Source organism: Homo sapiens, chromosome 20 (assembly GCF_000001405.40).
Source record: "Homo sapiens chromosome 20, GRCh38.p14 Primary Assembly".
Classification (NCBI taxonomy): Eukaryota; Metazoa; Chordata; class Mammalia; order Primates; family Hominidae; genus Homo; species Homo sapiens.
In genome coordinates, this window is record NC_000020.11 from 57,494,058 (window position 1) to 57,511,690 (window position 17,633).

At 45.2% G+C, this 17,633-nt stretch overlaps 1 protein-coding gene across 20 annotated transcripts in view, besides 4 other annotated features; it reads right to left on the reverse strand.

Moving 5' to 3' along the window:
- Positions 1–1,907: 1,907 nt before the first annotated feature.
- Positions 1,908–17,633, reverse strand: part of CTCFL (CCCTC-binding factor like) — a 29,688-nt gene continuing 13,962 nt past the window's right edge. For 5 of the 20 annotated variants that reach the window (NM_001269040.2, NM_080618.4, NM_001269046.2 and 2 more), the window contains 3 exons: positions 14,549–14,731; positions 9,379–9,544; positions 3,109–4,644 (listed from right to left, as the gene is read on the reverse strand). In NM_001269040.2, coding sequence (NP_001255969.1) covers positions 4,493–4,644; positions 9,379–9,544; positions 14,549–14,731 — 501 coding nt within the window. In that variant the 3' untranslated portion in view covers positions 3,109–4,492. Of the gene's footprint in view, positions 2,308–3,108; positions 4,645–5,501; positions 6,354–9,378; positions 9,545–12,948; positions 13,820–14,548; positions 14,732–17,633 lie in introns of those variants that run through there. The other 15 variants (NM_001269042.2, NM_001386997.1, NM_001386994.1 and 12 more) reach the window with 7 other exon arrangements.
- Positions 4,804–4,853: an enhancer, noted in NCBI's record as "active region_18163". NCBI's record gives its function as "activates an Ori minimal core promoter by ATAC-STARR-seq in GM12878 lymphoblastoid cells {active_cell/tissue: GM12878}" and the evidence as "EXISTENCE:reporter gene assay evidence [ECO:0000049][PMID:35858748]".
- Positions 5,302–5,861: an enhancer, noted in NCBI's record as "H3K4me1 hESC enhancer chr20:56074415-56074974 (GRCh37/hg19 assembly coordinates)". NCBI's record gives its function as "activates a minimal SCP1, AML or CMV promoter by ChIP-STARR-seq in primed H9 embryonic stem cells {active_cell/tissue: H9 hESC(primed)}" and the evidence as "EXISTENCE:reporter gene assay evidence [ECO:0000049][PMID:30033119]".
- Positions 5,843–6,043: a silencer, noted in NCBI's record as "peak4285 fragment used in MPRA reporter construct". NCBI's record gives its function as "represses an SCP1 promoter by STARR-seq MPRAs in K562 erythroleukemia cells {active_cell/tissue: K562}" and the evidence as "EXISTENCE:reporter gene assay evidence [ECO:0000049][PMID:32103011]".
- Positions 9,160–9,249: an enhancer, noted in NCBI's record as "active region_18164". NCBI's record gives its function as "activates an Ori minimal core promoter by ATAC-STARR-seq in GM12878 lymphoblastoid cells {active_cell/tissue: GM12878}" and the evidence as "EXISTENCE:reporter gene assay evidence [ECO:0000049][PMID:35858748]".

Here is a 17,633-nt window from a genome sequence, read left to right on the forward strand (position 1 = left end):
TTAAGGCTCACTGTAGCCTCAACCTCCCTGGCTCAGGTGATCCTCCCACCTCAGCCCCCTGAGTAGCTAGGACTATAGGTGCATACCACCACATCTGGCTAATTTGTGTGTGTGTGTGTGTGTGTGTGTGTGTGTGTGTGTGTGTGTGTGTGTATATATATATATATATATTTTTTTTTTTTGTAAAGACATGGTTTCACCATGTTGCCCAGACTGGTCTTTAACTCCTGGACTCAAGCAACCCTGCCCACCTTGGTCTTCCAAAGTGCTGGGATTACAGGCATGAGCCACCAGACCCAGCCTAATTAAGTTTGTTGATGGCACTTTTTGTCCTGACAAAGCGCAGTGAGCATCCCATACAGTAATCTATCTGCCATGCACAGAAAAATAAACATATGCATCTTAAAATGCTAAATTATGCATACTTTAAAAGATAATGATTTAAAGGAACCAGGTTCATAATCACACCCATGCCTTGGAAATGGTTCAAAAGTTACTAAAAATAGCATAAACTAGGCTGCTTTAGGAATTGGGGGCAGTGAACATGCAACCTGACTCTCTCTCACTTATCCATCGTGTTGAGGAGCATTTCACTCCTTAAACTTAAAATCTGTGTTTATCCGATACTGTCAATTAAAAATAAACTGCAGTGAAAGCATGAGGAGATGCGGAAAGTCGATTTGATAAGCCAAATGTCCCGAGGCTTGAATGGAACATATTTAAGCAGAACTAACAATGCCCTTTAGTGACTAATAGTCATAAAGAATGCATTTACAGGGACTATTCAATGGTTATCAGAAAAAAAATTAAACATTTATACTGGAAATAATATCTGGAAAATATCTTGCCATTTTCAAAAGGTAGGCTGTCAAACTTTATCATATAAAATGACTTCAGTTTCATCACGCCCATCCAGCCTTTTCAGTGACTGATCTCAAACAATAGAGGCTGTTAACATGCATCAGCCAGGTCTTAGGTTTGTTTAAAAGCCATCCTTTATATAGTAAAACTGTTGTCAAACAATGTTGTAATTTAAACACCCCCTCCCTGCAAAACAGAGATGTTACACTGTGCAAGAGGTGTACATTCCGGAATTATTTCCTGCTGGATCTCAAAACTATTTTAAGCAAAAGCATGTCACTCACCAAGCATTCACGAACTCAGAGCCAACTGGTGTCCTCACTCCCAGGTTTTGCAAAGGTCCCTTCTCTTCCTTGCCAAGGAAAAAATGTTCTCGTTCTGTATCGCGGAATTAATAAAATCGCCAAGACTTTGCTATAACTTTCCGTGCTTCCTACTCTCGAATAGTGAACCTGTCTCAATATCGGAAAAGACAGAAGCGACTGCCCTCTTGCGGGCACTATTGTCACTGCATCTATTTTGGTATCAAAAGCACTAACTGCACTTGAGGACCAGGTGTTTCACCTTCTTGCCAGGTGTGGGTGAGAGTCACGCACGTAACTGAGTAGGTATTGATCATCTCATCTGAATTTTGTTCTACATCTCAACAGGTGTTGCACACACGAAACACTGCAACTATTTATAAAAGTGTGCTTATAGGAGCTTTCGTCTTGAGACGGAGTCCCACTCTATTGCCCAGGCTGGAGTGCAGTGGCGCAATCTCGGCTCACTGCAACCTCCGCCTCCCGGGTTCAAGTGATTCTCCTGCCTCCGCCCCCCAAGTAGCTGGGATTACAGGCACCTGCCATCACGCCCGGCTAAATTTTATATTTTTAACAGAGATGGGATTTCACTATGTTGGCCAAGCTGGCCTCAAACTCCTGACCTCAGGTCATCCACCTGCCTCGGCCTCCCATAGTGCTGGGATTACAGGAGTGAGCCACTGCACCCGGCCTAGGAGTTTTATTTATTTATTTAAAACAGTGTTTAGATACCAACTTGGCTTGCGTTTTCAAACATATTTATGTTATCTGTTTTTGAAATTAACATACATTTGGTTGTAGTAAAATACATGATATAGTTTGGATATTTGTCCCTGGCCAAAGCTCATGTTGAATTGTAATCCCCAGTGTTGGAGGTGGGGCCTGGTAGGAGGTGACTGGATCACGGGGGCGGTTTCTTAGGAATGATTTAGCACCATCCGCTTGGTGCTGTCCTCATGACAGTGGCGGTTCTCAAGGAATCTGGTCGTTCAGAGGAGTGTGGCGCCTCCCCCTCTCTCGCTCCTGCTTTCACCATGTGACGCGCCTACTCCCTCTTCGCCTTCTGCCTTGATTGTAAGTTTCCTGAGGCCTCCCCAGAAGCCAGGCAGATACCAACATCATCCTTCCTGTACAGCCTGCGGAACTATGAGTCAATTAAAACTCTTTTCTTTATAAATTACCCAGTTTCAGGTATTTCTTTATAGCAATGTGAGAAAGGACTAACACAACATAAAATTTACCATTTTAGCTATTTTTAAATGTATGGTTCAGTGGAATGATTAGGTAGATTCACACTGTTGTGTGGCCATCACCATGACTGATCTCCAGAACTCTTTCTTCATCCCAAATAAACTGTGTCCACTAAACACTAACTCTCCATTCTCCCTCACCCCTCAGTGCTTGGCAAACATCACTTTACCGTCTGTCTCTATGACTCTGACTGTTCTAGATACCTCCTATAAGTAAGATCATATAATACTTGTCCTTTTGTGACTAGCTGATTTCACTCAGCATAACGTCCTCAAGGTTCCCCCATGTTGTAGCATGTGTGAGGGTCTCCCTCCTTTTGAAGGCTACATAATATTCCACTGCATGTATATACCACATTTTGTTTACCCATTCACCCGTCCATGGAATTTGGGTTGTTTTCATCTTTGACTATTTTGAAAAATGCTGCTATGAACATAGGTGTGCAAATACCTCTTTCAGACTCTGCTTTTAGTTCTTCTGGGTATACGGTATATCTGGAAGTGGGATTGGTGGGTCAGATACTAATGCTATTTCCATTTTTTTTTTTTTTTTTTTGAGAAACTGCCATACTGCTTTCCCCAGTGGCTGCACCATTTAACATTCCCACCAACAGTGCACAACGGTTCCAATTTCTCCACATTCTCTCCAGACAAAGAAGATGTTTTTAAAGACCAATGCTGACATATAACAAATATAGCAATTTTAAGTCATTTCATTTTATTGAATTATGTAAAACATCTTTAAATAACAGTAAAAAAATTAAGAAACCATTGCACAAATTCAGTCACAATGATGGCATACTACAGCCCACAGAATTTAAATCTCATGTGAGTTGAGTTAAATTAATTTGCTGGTACAAAGAGAATATAATGCTCTTCCTGCTGGGAAATTATTTCCACATATTCACATTGTATAGGGATTCTGAACTTGTGATATTTTCAATAAAAGGTCCATATCTTAAGAATTTGAATTTAGGGCTTATCAATGATCTTGAAATACAGGGGTGGAGACAGGTTGGCAGCAAAACAAACTGCTCAACTAAGCAATGAAGAAAAATCTGCCTCTGTATCCAGATAGAAATGAATTTCAAGTGTTAAAGAGGCATCTCTCACGCTGCTCGAGGGTGGAAAAATCTTGTCAACTGGCAAAAGGGAAATACTCACTAATCACTGGGCATTATGAAAAAGTACAAATTCCTTACAGGTACACATTTGCCTTATCTGATTTTATGTTTCTTCTCACTCTGCCAATTATTTTACAAATATAAAAAGAGTAGTTTTAGCAGAAAAAAGGGTTATGGAGTGAAATACTAATAAGCAATAATGGAATGTAACCAGGGCAATTTCATACCTGCCAAGGAGCATAATTAAAAGAGAATACAAAAATCTAAAGGTGAACCTTGCTCCTATACCAAAGTAAAATCGATTTATTCCTTATTTTCTAGTCTAATCTAGTATTTCATTTCCTACTCAGTTTTCCTTTTTATAAGAGTAAAACATTTTTTGGTTGAATTTAGAACTAATTAAAAGCATTATGGTAGCTTTAAATTTTGTAGAAAATTCATTTGTATAAAAACATTTGTCTTTAATGTTTAAAACCATATATTATTAGAAATATCATGGGTGTATATAATGCAACATAAAAATGTCCAGCTTTGACTGTGGAAGCACTAGCTGGTCTAGACTATTTTGAAATATCCAAAAATCACTACTCACTCATTGTGGGCCACCTTGCCAATATCAAGTGAATGAATCCATAGGTTTGAGGTGTTACCCTCTCATTCAAGGTTTAAAACTTTTATAAAATACCTGCAATGTTTCTTTGAAATATCCAGCTACAAACAGGAGAACAATTCTAGACACTACCTCAAACTTGTGTCATCCATTGTCATGAACTTAATTGTTTCAAAGAAAATGCTAAAAATTTCTAACTTGCTTTAGGAATTAGGGGCAGTGAACATGCAACCTGACTCTCTCTCACTTATCCATCGTGTTGAGGAGCATTTCACACCTTAAATGCTAAAAACTTCTAACTTGCTTTAGGAATTGGGGGCAGTGAACACGCAACCCGAATCCCTCTCACTTATCCATCGTGTTGAGGAGCATTTCACAGGTCACGCCTTCATCCACTTCCTCTTTGACTCTGGCTGTGGTTTCTCTGCAGGCGACAGGAAACATCTCTCCTGGGAACTGTTCTCCCTTCGTGGTGGAAGCCTCCTCAGCAGCAGCTTCTTGAGAAAAAGTCCAGGATGAGCAAATTTATCAGAAAGCTAAGGAATTGGAATTTATAAACTGTGCAAATATATTTTGGAAACCATCACTTAAATTTGAACACGGCAGCAAGCATGTTAGAAAACAATCTAATTGATAAGATGGTACTATTCTGATCTCAACTACTGCCTTCAGTCAGGGCTTCTTAGCCTCAGCGCTACAGACGTTTGGGGCCAGAGAGCTGTCTGCTGGGGGCAGGGCGCTGTTCTGGGCACTGTAGGATGTTAGCAGCGACCCTGGCCTCTACCACTAGATGCCAGTAGCACCCTCCTCTCCAGCTGCAAAAACCATAAAAATGTCTCCAGACATTGCCAGTGTCCCCTGAAGGTGACGGGGGGGGGGTGGGGGGGGGACACAGTCATTCCCAGCTGGCATCAGCTGCTATAGGTGAATGTGGATCTTACAGATTTATATCGAGGCGGATCTCAGAGATTTATATTGTGGCTGAGCTGCTCACCTAAGTCTTGTCCCAGTACCCATGTAATGATGCTGCCTACATGAAGAAAGCCAGTTGCCTGCAGGACATTTGTCCCTTTGGCCAATCGACATATACTGAGTACTGATTCTGTGGGTTGCGCGTTCTGCTAGGGATGCTGGGGCCAGCGCCAGGCGTGTATCCATAACCTGCTCCCCCTCCAGCAGCTCAGGAGCCAGTCTGCACAACTTAGTGGGTTTAAAACAGACCACTGTGAGCCGACCCATATTCAACCCTCTACTGTCCCCAACCTTTTCAGTACCAGGGAACACTCTTGTGGAAGACAATTTTTCCATGGACTGGTTGGGGTGCGGGGGTTGGTTGTGGGATGGTTCAAGCACATTACATTTCTTATGTACTTTATTTTTATTATTACATTGTGATATATAATGAAATAATTATACAGCTCACCATAATGTAGAATCAGTGGGAGCCCTGGGCTTGTTTTCCTGCATCTAGACAGTCCCATCTGGGGGTGATGGGAGACAGTGACAGATCGTCGGGCATTAGATTCTCGTAAGGAGTGTGCAGCCTAGATCCCTTGCACGTGCAGAGTTCACAACAGGGTTCACACTCATGAGAATCTAACGCTGCCGCTGATCTGACAGGAGGCGGAGCTCAGGCGGTGATGCGCCCGATGGGGAGCGGCTGTCAATACAAAGCTTCACTCCCTCACCCACTGCTCACCTCCTGCTGGGAGGCCCAGTTCCTAACAGCCCACAGGTCCACGGCTGGGGGGTTGGGGAGCCCTGCTCTACTCATTTTCCAAATTACTTTCCCAAACATCCACAGAGCGCCACACTGAAGAACGTGACTGTCTCATGTTCTAACTTGTCTGAGGATATTTTTGTCCATGCTTCCTTGAAGTATTTTTTTTTTTTTTTTTTTGGTGGATGGAGGGAGACAAGAAGACCCAGTTCTTGGATATGAAAAGAAACACTGAGATCCACAAAACTGGTGCCATCAGGCCAGGCACAGGGGCTCATGCCTGTAATCCCACCACTTTGGGAGGCCGAGGCGGGCAGATCACTTGAGGTCAGGAGTGAGAGACATGGTAAAACCCCATCTCTACTAAAAATAATAGAACAATTAGCCAGGCGTGGTGGCGGGCATCTGTAATCCCAGCTCCGGAGACTGAGGCATGAGAATCACTTGAACCCAGGAGGCAGAGGTTGCGGTGAGCTGAGATCACACCTGGAGTATAAAGTGAAACTCTGTCTTAAAAAAACAAAAACAAAAACTGGTGCTATCAGATAGTCACCCATCGAGATCTGTCAATGAACTGGAGGTGCTGTGTGCTGGTGTACCGGCAGAGCAGACACAGAAGTGAGACAATTGTCTGGATAACACAGGCTACAAAGATCCTGAAATGCAGATTAAGTCATATTTTTTGCCAGGTTATTTGCCTTAATTCACACTTGCTTTGGATATGACCGCTGACCATCAAAAATATGAAAAAAGTTTGTATATGTACAATTCCTATCATCAGTTTTTAAGCCTATAAGAACCTTCTCAACTCTTCTCCATAGCAAAAATGTCACCGACTGAGGGTGACATGTTCAAAATTCACCCCAAATCATTTGGTCTTCTGGAGGTTTAAGAGATAATTAACAACAACAAAAAACCAAAAACCAAACCAAAACCAAACAAAAACAAAACAAAACCACTACATTTAGGTGTCAAGGTGTGGAGAACTGCACAAGTGTCCTTTAGGTGCGGAATCAGCGGGGAAGTCACGTTTCTCCAGGGACCCTTTAGGATCTGACTTAAACTCAGAGCCGAGGTGGCCAGTAGCCCGGCCTTGGGTTTCTACAATGTGCGCTGATGAACTGTGGGTCAAATTTCACCGGTCTGTCTTCTCCAGTAAAGGACTGTGCTTACTATTCACTCGTTTATTCAACAAGTGGTGACTTAACGAGCAATGCTGAGGCCAGGCCTAGTGCCAGGAGCTGGGGACGGACCCGATGGGCCAGGCCCGCCTTGGAGGAGCCTGCGGTGCCCTGCATGTGGGAATCCGGCACTTATTAAAGAACCAAATAAGCGTGAAGTGTGCAGGAGGGGCAGCGCAGGACCAGGTGGGTGGTCGCGCGAAGTGCTTTTATTTTTCTGAAGATACGGAGCATGTTTAAGGCTGATAGGAAAGAGCAGGCCTGCAGGGGTGAGTTGGCTGAGGAGGGTGGGTGGGGGACATAAAGCTGCTCATCTGGGGGGTGGGTTCCAGACTCAGAGTCAGAAGGGGCCTTAGATGGGAGGGGTGGCTCCTCCAGCCCCTTCCTCCATTAAAAAATGTGAAAAATGATATTTTACAACATCATTGGTATAAAGGAATCCAAATGGAATGCAGGCTGCATTCATTGCTTGATACCCATCAGTGAGACACTGGTTTTTCTTCTGATCTGCCCCTATGAGCACTGTGGACAGCCCTGTGCCCTGCGGGGCCGGATGGAGAAGCCCCAGGAGCTGGCGGAGGATGGCGGGAACTCCAGCTGGGAGTGGGATGACACAGGAATGCCGGGGCAGCGGGCAGCAGAGCCCATCTGCTGGTGCAGAGTCAGTGAGGCCTCCACCCAGAGGGAGGGAGGCAGGGGCTGGGAGTTTGGGATGAAGGTGCTCACTGGAAATCAGTGGAAAAGTTATTGGTGCTGAGGTTCAGAATGAGGGCTCTGGGCACCTGGGCAGGCTCGTCCCCACCCTGTGATGGAGCTCTCTCCCTGTCAGATGGATGACAGTGCCCCCTGCAGAGGCCTGTGGTCATGATAAGAAGGGACTTGCATGAGCTCAGTGGTAATTGCCGATGCCTGGAGGAGAAAGGAGGGTGCTCCGCGCATGGGCAGTGTGCACAATTCTGGAGAGTTCCAACTGAGCTGAGTGATGGGGCACTGCCTGGGACCCCTCAGTCTCACCAGTTCCCTGCCAGGCAGGGCCTGGCTGTGTGACGCAGGCATGGGAAAGGCAGGCCGGGGGCACACCCAGGCTTAGGGCTTTGCCAGATGGTGAGACGCAGAGAAAGAGTGGGGGAGTGCTGCCTGTGGACAGAGCGACTGGAACCAGGGACCCAGAACCGACTCCACACAGAGGGAGTGGGAAGGACTGCAGGATGCCCGCTTCTACCCGAGTTTCAGATACATGATGAACATTTTTTTTAGTATAAGTATATCCCAAATAGTGCATGGGACACATTTAAACAATGATTCACTGTGTATCTGAAATTCAGATTGAGCTGGGCATCCTCTATCTGATCTGGTAACTCTTGAGGAAAGGCAGGTGGAGGGCGACCGTCATCTGTGGGAACATTCGCAATGCAGGGACTGAGTCTGGAATGAGAACGTGGGGTATTTGCTTGTGCCGTAAAAGTCTGGACAGTTTCCAGTCATCTACGGTTCTAAGGTTCTCAGAGGAAAGGAATGGAGAAGGTGAACAGTGCAGGTGTTCACCTGTGCAGGTGTCAGGTTGGCCCCTCTTACAGCAGAGCCATTCACAGGACACACAGGACAGGGCCCAGCTTCAGCCAACCTGGGAACTCACTTCAGCTCCCAGAGGCCAGAGGACGAAGACTGTGATGGCTGTGGGGGCTGAATGGTGACCCCTAAAGGGATATGTCCATATCCTAAGCCCCATAGCTGACCTCCTTTTTTCAAAAGAAGTTCTAAATCCTAAATGATAAATGTCTTTGTAAGAGGCAGAAGAGAAGGCCCACACACAGAAGAGAGGAGAGAGCTAGGAAAAGACAGAGGCAGAGACTGGAGGATGTGGCCACAAACTGAGGAATGGTGGAGCCACCAGAGTTGCAAGAGGCTAGGAGGGACCCTCCCCTAGGTCCCCCGAGGGAGGGCGGCCCTGCCCACACCTGGATTGAGGATTTCTGGCCTCTAGAGCTATTTGAAAATCAATTTCTGTTGTCCCAAGCCACTCAGCTTGTGGTCATCTATTGCAACAGCCCAGGACAGTCCCTGTAGCTGCAGGCGACAGTCCAATGCGATGGAAGAGGGCTCCTCGGGGTGGGGGCCACACATGGACCTGCGTGGGGCTCTCACACTGACTTTCTCACGCTATGCTCACTGCCATTCTGAGAGATCTGGCACAAGCCACCTTGCAGGACCGACTGGTGGACAAATAGGGGCTCTGGACACATCCCCTGGACAGTAACACTCGGCACCCAGGATAGTCACAACCAGAAAATCACTGAGGCGGTAAAAACAAATCTGCGTAAAATCAGTACCGTCTCCGTTCGCGGCTTCCTTCCATCCCTTCGCAGCTTCCTTCTGACCCTTTGTGGCTTCCTTCAGGATGGTCTGCTTCCTCTTTCTTGTTCTTCTTCCCTTTCCTGAAGCAGCCGACTTTGCTTCCCCTGATCCACACTTCTCCGAATGTCTGTGCAGGTTAATCTGTCGGAGAATTGACACAGAACACACAAGGCGAGTGAGATGGGGCAGGGACCCCTCTCAGGGGCCTGTGGGGACCCCACGCATGGAAAGAAAGAAAAATCCTGAGTTCTTTCGAGGGCAATTCCACACACCTCGCTAGCCCTAAGAAGTAAATAAGCAACTTGATAAGCAAGAAGGTAATAGGAGGCCAGGCACTGTGACTCACGTATGTAATCCCAGTACTTTAGGAGGCCCAGGAGGGAGGCTGAGGTGGGAGGATCGCTTTAGCCCCGGAGGTCGAGGCTGCAGTGAGCTGACTGTACCACTGCACTCCAGCCTGAGTGACAGAAAAAAAAAAAAAAGAAAGAAAAGAAAAGGTGATAGAAACCTAAAACAATAGCCAAGGAAGCTACACTCAGGATGTTTGGGGCACTCGCCCAGGCTGGAGTGCAGTGGCGCCATCTCGGCTCACTGCAAGCTCCGCCTCCTGGGTTCACGTCATTCTCCTGCCTCAGCCTCCCAAGTAGCTGGGACTACAGGCACCCGTCACCACGCCCGGCTGATTTTTTATATTTTTAGTAGAGACGGGGTTTCACCGTGTTAGCCAGGATGGTCTCGATCTCCTGATATTGTGATCTGCCCACCTTGGCCTCCCAGAGTGCTGGGATTACAGGCATGAGCCACTGCACCCGCCCCCCGTCTCCTTTTTTTTTTTTGAGATGGGAGTCTCGCTCTGTCACCCAGGCTGGAGTGCAGTGGCATGGTGTCAGCTCACTGCAACCTCTACTTCCCAGGTTCAAGCGATTCTCCTGCCTTAGCCTCCCAAGTAGGTGGGACTACAGGCGAGTGCCACCACACCCAGCTAATTTTTGTTATTTTTAGTAGAGACAGTGTTCCACCATGCTGGCCAGGCTGGACTCAAAACTCCTGACCTCAAGTGATCCACCTGCCTTGGCCTCCCAAAGTGCTGAGATTACAGGCGTGAGCCACCGCACTGGCCAAGATAACATCCTAACATCCGTCCCTGAGTTGTTTTTTAGAAACCTGGCTCTTTACCAAACAGGTCCACCGGCAGGGAGACCTAAGATAAGGAGGACCTGGGGGCTGAAATCTGACCACTGCTAAATTTGTTCTAATTTTGTTCTTAATTTCCTCCTGAGAGGCCTAGAGGAGGTCATGCCTCGTGAACCAGAGCTAATACTCTTTTCTCAAAATTTTAAACAAAACTTCTCTTCCTTAACCAATTGCAAACCAGTCTCTGAATCTACCTACAACCTGTAAGCCCTTGCTGCAAGATATCCTGCCCTTTTAGGGCAAGGTATCCTCCATGCGCTGATTTATAATTTTGTCTGTAGCTTCTGCTTCCTTGGCACCCTGCAAATAAACTCCTGCTGCAAACTGTGGTGTGGATATCTGGTCTTACTGCACCAGGCAAGCAGACCCCAGTTTGGTTCTATAACAAGAGTCGGCTTCCCCAAAGGCACTGAAAAATGCACAGTTAAAGAGATGGCCTTTGGGAAAACTGTGGGTAGCATGCACCTTTGATAATCTTGTGCAAAAATGATGACTTTTTAAAGGTGACCCTTTCTGTTGTGCTTAGCTCTAGCCAAAAGCTAGCTTGCTTTAAGTATTTTTTTTTAATAATAGAAATCAATGAGAAGACAAAATTTATTTATTTATTTATTTATTTTTTGAGACGGAGTCTTGCTCTTTCGTCTAGGCTGGAGTGCAGTGGCACGATCTCTGCTCACTGCAAGCTCCGCCTCCCGGGTTCATGCCATTCTCCTGCCTCAGCCTCCCGAGTAGCTGGGACTACAGGCATGTGCCACCACGCCCGGCTAATTTTTTGTATTTTTCAGTAGAGATGGGGTTTCACCATGTTAGCCAGGATGGTCTCGATCTCCTGACCTCGTGATCCGCCCGCCTCGGCCTCCCAAAATGCTGGGATTACAGGCGTGAGCCACCGCGCCCGGCCTTAAAATTTATTTTTCTAGAATGTTTCTACTCTCTAAAGTGAAGACTGATGTTGAACCAAAAATTCAATACATCAGTCAATTTCATAACCATCAACTACATACCATAAAGATTTTACTTTTCTGTTAGCTACTCTCTTGAAGCTACTGAGCAGAGGTCATGGGTGGCAGTTATGAAACTGTATACAACATTCAGGAATAAAAGCCAAAGACTTCCCCTAGTCAAGCCTACTCGTGACATAGTCTCATCTAACAAACACTCAGGATAATCTTAAGTCAGAAAATTTTCACTTTTTGAAAAGGTCCTAGGCAAAAGTAAAAAAACTGGCAACAGGTGTTGAAATTTGCAAATTATGCGAAACATCCCGCCTGATTCCCATTTTGACTTTCCCACTGTGCTTAACAGGACTGTCTGCGTTTATGATGGAAGAAGGAAGAATTTACACATAATGGGGGTGATGGAACAGGTTGTTTAAACTTCTTCCATTTTATGCTTAGACACTGGGGTTGGCAAACGACAACCAGTGGGTCAAATCTGGCTGCCAACTGTTTGTGAAAGCAAGTTTTACTGGAACACAGCCATGTCTATTCATTTACACACTGCATCCACAGCTGCTTCCATGACACAAGGGCAGACTCAAGAAGTCGTGGCAGAAACTGATTTGCGTTGCCCTGGTGATTAATGACGCTACGCTTACTGGCCACCTGTATGTCTTCTTTGGAGAAAGGTCTATTTAGATACTTTAACTGTTTTGTTTTGTTTTTTTCCTGAGACAGTCTCGCTCTGTTGCCCAGGCTGGACTGTAGTGGCACAGTCTCAGCTCACTGCAACCTCCACCTCCTGGGTTCAAGCAATTCTCCTGCCTCAGCCTCCTGAGCAGCTAGGATTACAGGCATGTGCCACCATGCCCAGCTAATTTTTGTATTTGTAGTAGAGATGGGGTTTCATCATTTTGGCCAGGCTGGTCTTGAACTGCTGACCTTGTGATCCACCTGCCTCTGCCTCCCAAAGTGCTGGGATTACAGGTGTGAACCACCGCGCCTGGCCTAGATACTTTACCTGTTTTTCATTGGGTATCTGTCTATTTACTGAGTTATAAGAGTTCTTTTTATATTTTAGACACAAGTCCAAATATGCTTTCTTGAATCGGAATTTCAAAAATTTTATGTTCTGAGGGACTGCATGAGGCAGACTTGTTCTTTTCTCTACATTTTTATTTCTTGCACCAAAGAGCAGTTTTTTTCTCTTTAGAATTCTACTCGTTAATTTTAACTCTTCACAATTTTTGCATGAGCAATGGTGTTTTGGGAGCACTGCCACAGCTTTTATTTGAAATTTTAAACTAATAGGGTTGACATTCCAGAACTATCCCACTGTGCTACTCAGAAAAACACAACTACACTACTGTTTTAAGAAGAAATATTTTTAAAAAAATAGTCAACTTCAGGAAATTCAACTTTTATAAAACTTTTATAAAGTTAGGCTGAAGCCTACATGGTCCAAGGATCTAGCTAGCCATGTGCAGTGGTTTTTAAATGTCCTGAAATTCTTTGATGCTGTTCCTTTCAAAAGAAACTTCATTCCCCACTCGAGTGTGGGTGGGACTTCATGGTTCATTTCTTGTGACTAGAATGTGCCACTTTTTTTTTTTTTTTGAGACAGAGTCTTGCTCTGTCGCCCAGGCTGGAGGCCAGTGGCACAATCTCAGCTCACTGCAACCTCTGTCTCCTGGGTTCAAGTGATCCTCCCGTCCCAACCACCCAAGTAGCTGGGATTACAAGCGTGCACTACCACGCCTAGCTATTTTCTTTTTTTTTTTTTAAAGTAGAGACAGGGTTTCACCATGTTGGCCAGGCTGGTCTTGAGCTCCTGGCCTCAAGTTATCCACCTGCCTTGGCCTCCCGAAGTACTGGGATTACAGGTGTGAGCCCCCACAGCTGGCTGTTGTGCCGCTTTTAGGACTAGACTGCAAAAGGCACCATGGCTTCCTACTTGCACTCTCTCACTTGCTCTGAGTCAGGAGGACACTCAAGCAGCCCTGCAGAGAGGTCCCTGTAGCAAGGAACTGAGGCCGGTGCCAGCAGTTGTGTGGCGGAGCTGTCCTGGAAGTGGATCCTCTGGCCCCAGTCCAGCCTTCGGATGATGCAGCCCTGGCGGACATCCTGACTGCAGCCTCAGGAGTGGCCCTGAGCCAGGACCACCCAGTTCAGCCACTTCCGAGTTCCCAACCCAGAGAATCTGTCAGGTGATAAATGTTTGTGGTTTTAAGCCACTCCATTTTGAGGTAATCTGTCATACAGAAATAGATAACTAATACAACACCTAAAAGAATAAAACCATAAATGTATTGCTTAGTCCAGTACCAACAGCACTATTCTTTTTTTTTTAATTAAAAAAGTTATTTTAGAGACAGGGTCTCACTCTGTCTTTGAGGCCAGAGTGCAGTGGTGCGATCGTGACTCACTGTAGCCTCCAACTCCTGGGCTCAAGTGGTCCTCCTGTCTCAGCCTCCTGAGCAGCTAGGCCTACAGGGGTGCACCACCACAACCAGCTAATTTTTTTGGAGGGATGGGGGTCTCCCTGTGTTGCCCAGGCTGATCTCAAACTCCTGGCCTCAAGTAATCCTCCCACCTTGGCCTCTCAAGTAGCTGGGATTATAGACACCAATAACATTATTCTAGGGACATCTGAAAAAATGTGTGAAAACTGCATTCTCTCTGTCAAGTAGCCTAAATCTAGTTCACTGTTTGAAAATATTACACTAAAAGGTGGGGTTCTTTGGGGAGTCTGATAACTCCCTATTGTAAGATTTTGTGTGTTGGATTGTCCTTTTTTTTTTTTTTAGGGGATGAGGAGACCACACTTTCATAGGATTCTTCAAGAATTTTGTGATTTTAAAAAACTAATAACCACTTTCCTAAGGCATGACAGATGCTCCTGAAGTCCTGGCAGGTTTCTATAATCGGGTTTAAACTCTCCTGGTGTGACACTGTCCTCCTGAGATAGAGGGATCTTTCCATGGGGGATTTACTGTGACTTAAGTAAGCTTACCCAGCGGGAAAAGCCTTTGCCACACTTGGAGCATTTGTAAACAGTCGGGATGAAATTTGCATCGTGGTATTTCCTGAAGTGAGCGTTTAGAAGTTGCTTCTGTCGGAAACATTTATTGCAAGAAAGGCAGGTGAATGGTTTCTCTCCAGTGTGGGTACGAATGTGAGCGGTCATATGACGTTCCTAAGAGGGAAGGGGAAGAAAGCAGCTTGTCTAGTTCAAAGGGTTTTCTCGATATTAGACACTGTTTATCATACAATACCTTTTATTTCCCTCCCCAAAGATGAGTCCACTATTAAGCAGAATTACTGCAAACACATTCTGAACAAGGCAGCATTCACTCTCAGTAAGTGGCCGCCTAGGAAACAAAACTCGTATGCAGCAGCAAGTGACAAAGGTCTTGCAGTGGATTCCTTGCTGGCTCTCCTGTCCTGTTGGGATGTGGGAGTACACACCGCAGGGCGTGAAAGGATGGTCCTTTGTCCTCTCATTACTGGGAGTCCTCCTTCTATACAACTATTTACAATTACCTGAATTTACAAAGGGCAAATAGAACCTGCAAACTTAAAAATCAAATGTCAGAGTTTAAATTCAGCAGACCTTTGGGGTTGCAAGTACCTTAAGTATCAACATTTTTCCATTTACTTCCCAATAGTATCGTAACAGATCTTAATACCGATTTTTTTTTTTTTTTTTTTGAGACAGGGTCTCGCTCTGTCACAATCATAGCTCACTGCAATCTCAAACTCCTGGGCCCAAGTGATCCTCCTGCCTCAGCCTCCTGAGTAGCTGGGACTGTGGACGCATGCCACTATGCTCGGCTCAGTTTGTATTTTTTGTAGAGACAGGGTCTCACTATGTTGCCCAGGCTGGTCTCAAACTCCTAGCCTCAAGCAATTCTCCTGCCTTAGCCTCCCAAAGTGCTGGGATTATAGGTGTGAGCCACTGTACCTGGCCTAAATAGAGATTTTATCTTAGACAGGAGAAAATAATTTGGGAAATCAGGAAAAAAATATGTATGAAGTCAAGCAAAAGTACACATTTTGTTTTATTTAAAATGTGATGATTATTTGGATTAAATATATATTCGGCCATTTCTGCATTACTGTCAGTGGCCTAACTGATGCTCTTTCTTCTAATCTTTCTCTCACCCAATTCACTAAACACCCTCTTCCATGCACAGCTTTCACCTCATCACCCTCCTTTGGGACAGCATCTCTGGCGCTCCCTGCTGGGAGCCTGACTCTCCAGGACCGCGGCAGCCAGGAGCACCCAGCAGTGCTCCAAGCCTCTGCCCACGGCCATGACCTGCCTGGCTGCTCTCTACTCCCACATACCTGCTGTATGCCTGCTCCAGGGCCCCTCATCCTTTCCAAGTCCTATCCATCTTTCAGGAAGCCCTCCTAGTTCATTTGAATAAGTATGAGCCTGAGGCCTCAGAATATTCTTTGTTCAAAATCTACCAGAAAAACTCCTTTTCCCTTATTCAAAGCATTTACAGTTTACAGCCCACACTTCAAAACACACAGTAAGCACTGATTTTCACCTTTGGTAACCAATAGCATGCAATACTTTGAAGCAGTGTTTTGGTTTTCAAACTTCTACTCTGAGGGCCTTTTATACTTTAAAAAATTACTGTGGCCTCTGAAGAGCTTTTATGTATACAGGTGGCATGTATTAGTATTTACTTTCTTAGAAAGCAAACCTGGGGAATTCTTAAGTGTTTTTTAAAATAAAACAATTTATTAACTCATTTAAAAATAAAAACAAACCAACTACATATTATTTCTGTAAAATTATCTATTTTTCAAAACAAAAATAACCTAATGTCTGTCTTAATAGATAAGGTTTCCAGTTAAAATACAGGCTGCAACTACTTGTATATAAAACTATTTGTTGTTGTCTGAAGTTCAAATGTCACTAAGTGTGCTGTATTTTTATTTGCTAAGTCTGACAGCTCTATTAAAAGCATTCGGGGCCAGGCGCGGTGGCTCACGCCTATAATCCCAGCACTTTGGGAGGCCGAGGCGGGCAGATCACGAGGTCAGGAGATCGAGACCATCCTGGCTAACATGGTGAAACCCCATCTCTACTAAAAATACAAAAAATAAGCCAGGCGTGGTGGGGGCCGCCTGTAGTCCCAGCTACTCAGGAGGCTGAGGCAGGAGAATGGCGTGAACCCAGGAGGTGGAGTTTGCAGTGATAGCGCCACTGCACTCTAGCCTGGGCAACAGAGTGAGACTCCGTCTAAAAAATAAAAAAATAAAAAAAGAATTCAGATGGATTCCTATCTCTGCTCTTCCCTCAGTCCACTGGAGTATGTTAAGTGATAAAGAAAATTTGGTCTCACAGACATGTAGTTTGAAAAGAGAGCAACATTTTACTAGCTCTTCCAAATAACTGTGGGCATTCTTCTCTGCTATTACACTAAAATTCAGTTAGTAGTAATTTCTTTTTTTAGGGTCTCACTCAGTTGTCCGTGCTGGAGTGCAGTGGTATGAACACAGCCTACTGCAGCCTCAACCTCCTGGGCTTAAGTGATCCTCCAACCTTAGCCTCCTGAGTAGCTGGGACAGATATGCACCACCACCCACAGCTAATTTTTGTATTTTTTTGTAGAGACAGGGTCTCATTATGTTGCCCAGGTTGGTCTTGAATTCCTGAGCTCAACAGTTCTGTCCATCTCGGCCTCCCAAAGTGTTGGGACTATAGGTGTGAGCCAGTGTGTCTGGCCATGGTAATTTCTTACCATGGGTTGCAATGTGGAATCTGAAACCGTGCCAAAGAACTTGTGCTCCTCTGCGACATTATAACCTCTTGGTCTATCTTTTACTTTGAATGGATCTTTTACCTGTGTGTGAGTCTGTAACATCATGGATTGGTCATTTGGAAAATACTAGTTCACTTGAGTTATGCAGATCTTCTAAATGCTGACATATTTCATCACACAATATAAAAGTTGCTTTAAAAAAATCACTCTAATCCCCCCCCTTTTTTTTTTTTTGAGATGGAGTTTTGCTCTGTTTCCCAGGCTGGAGTGCAGTGGCGCGATCTCGGCTCACTGCAACCTCTGCCTCCCAGGTTC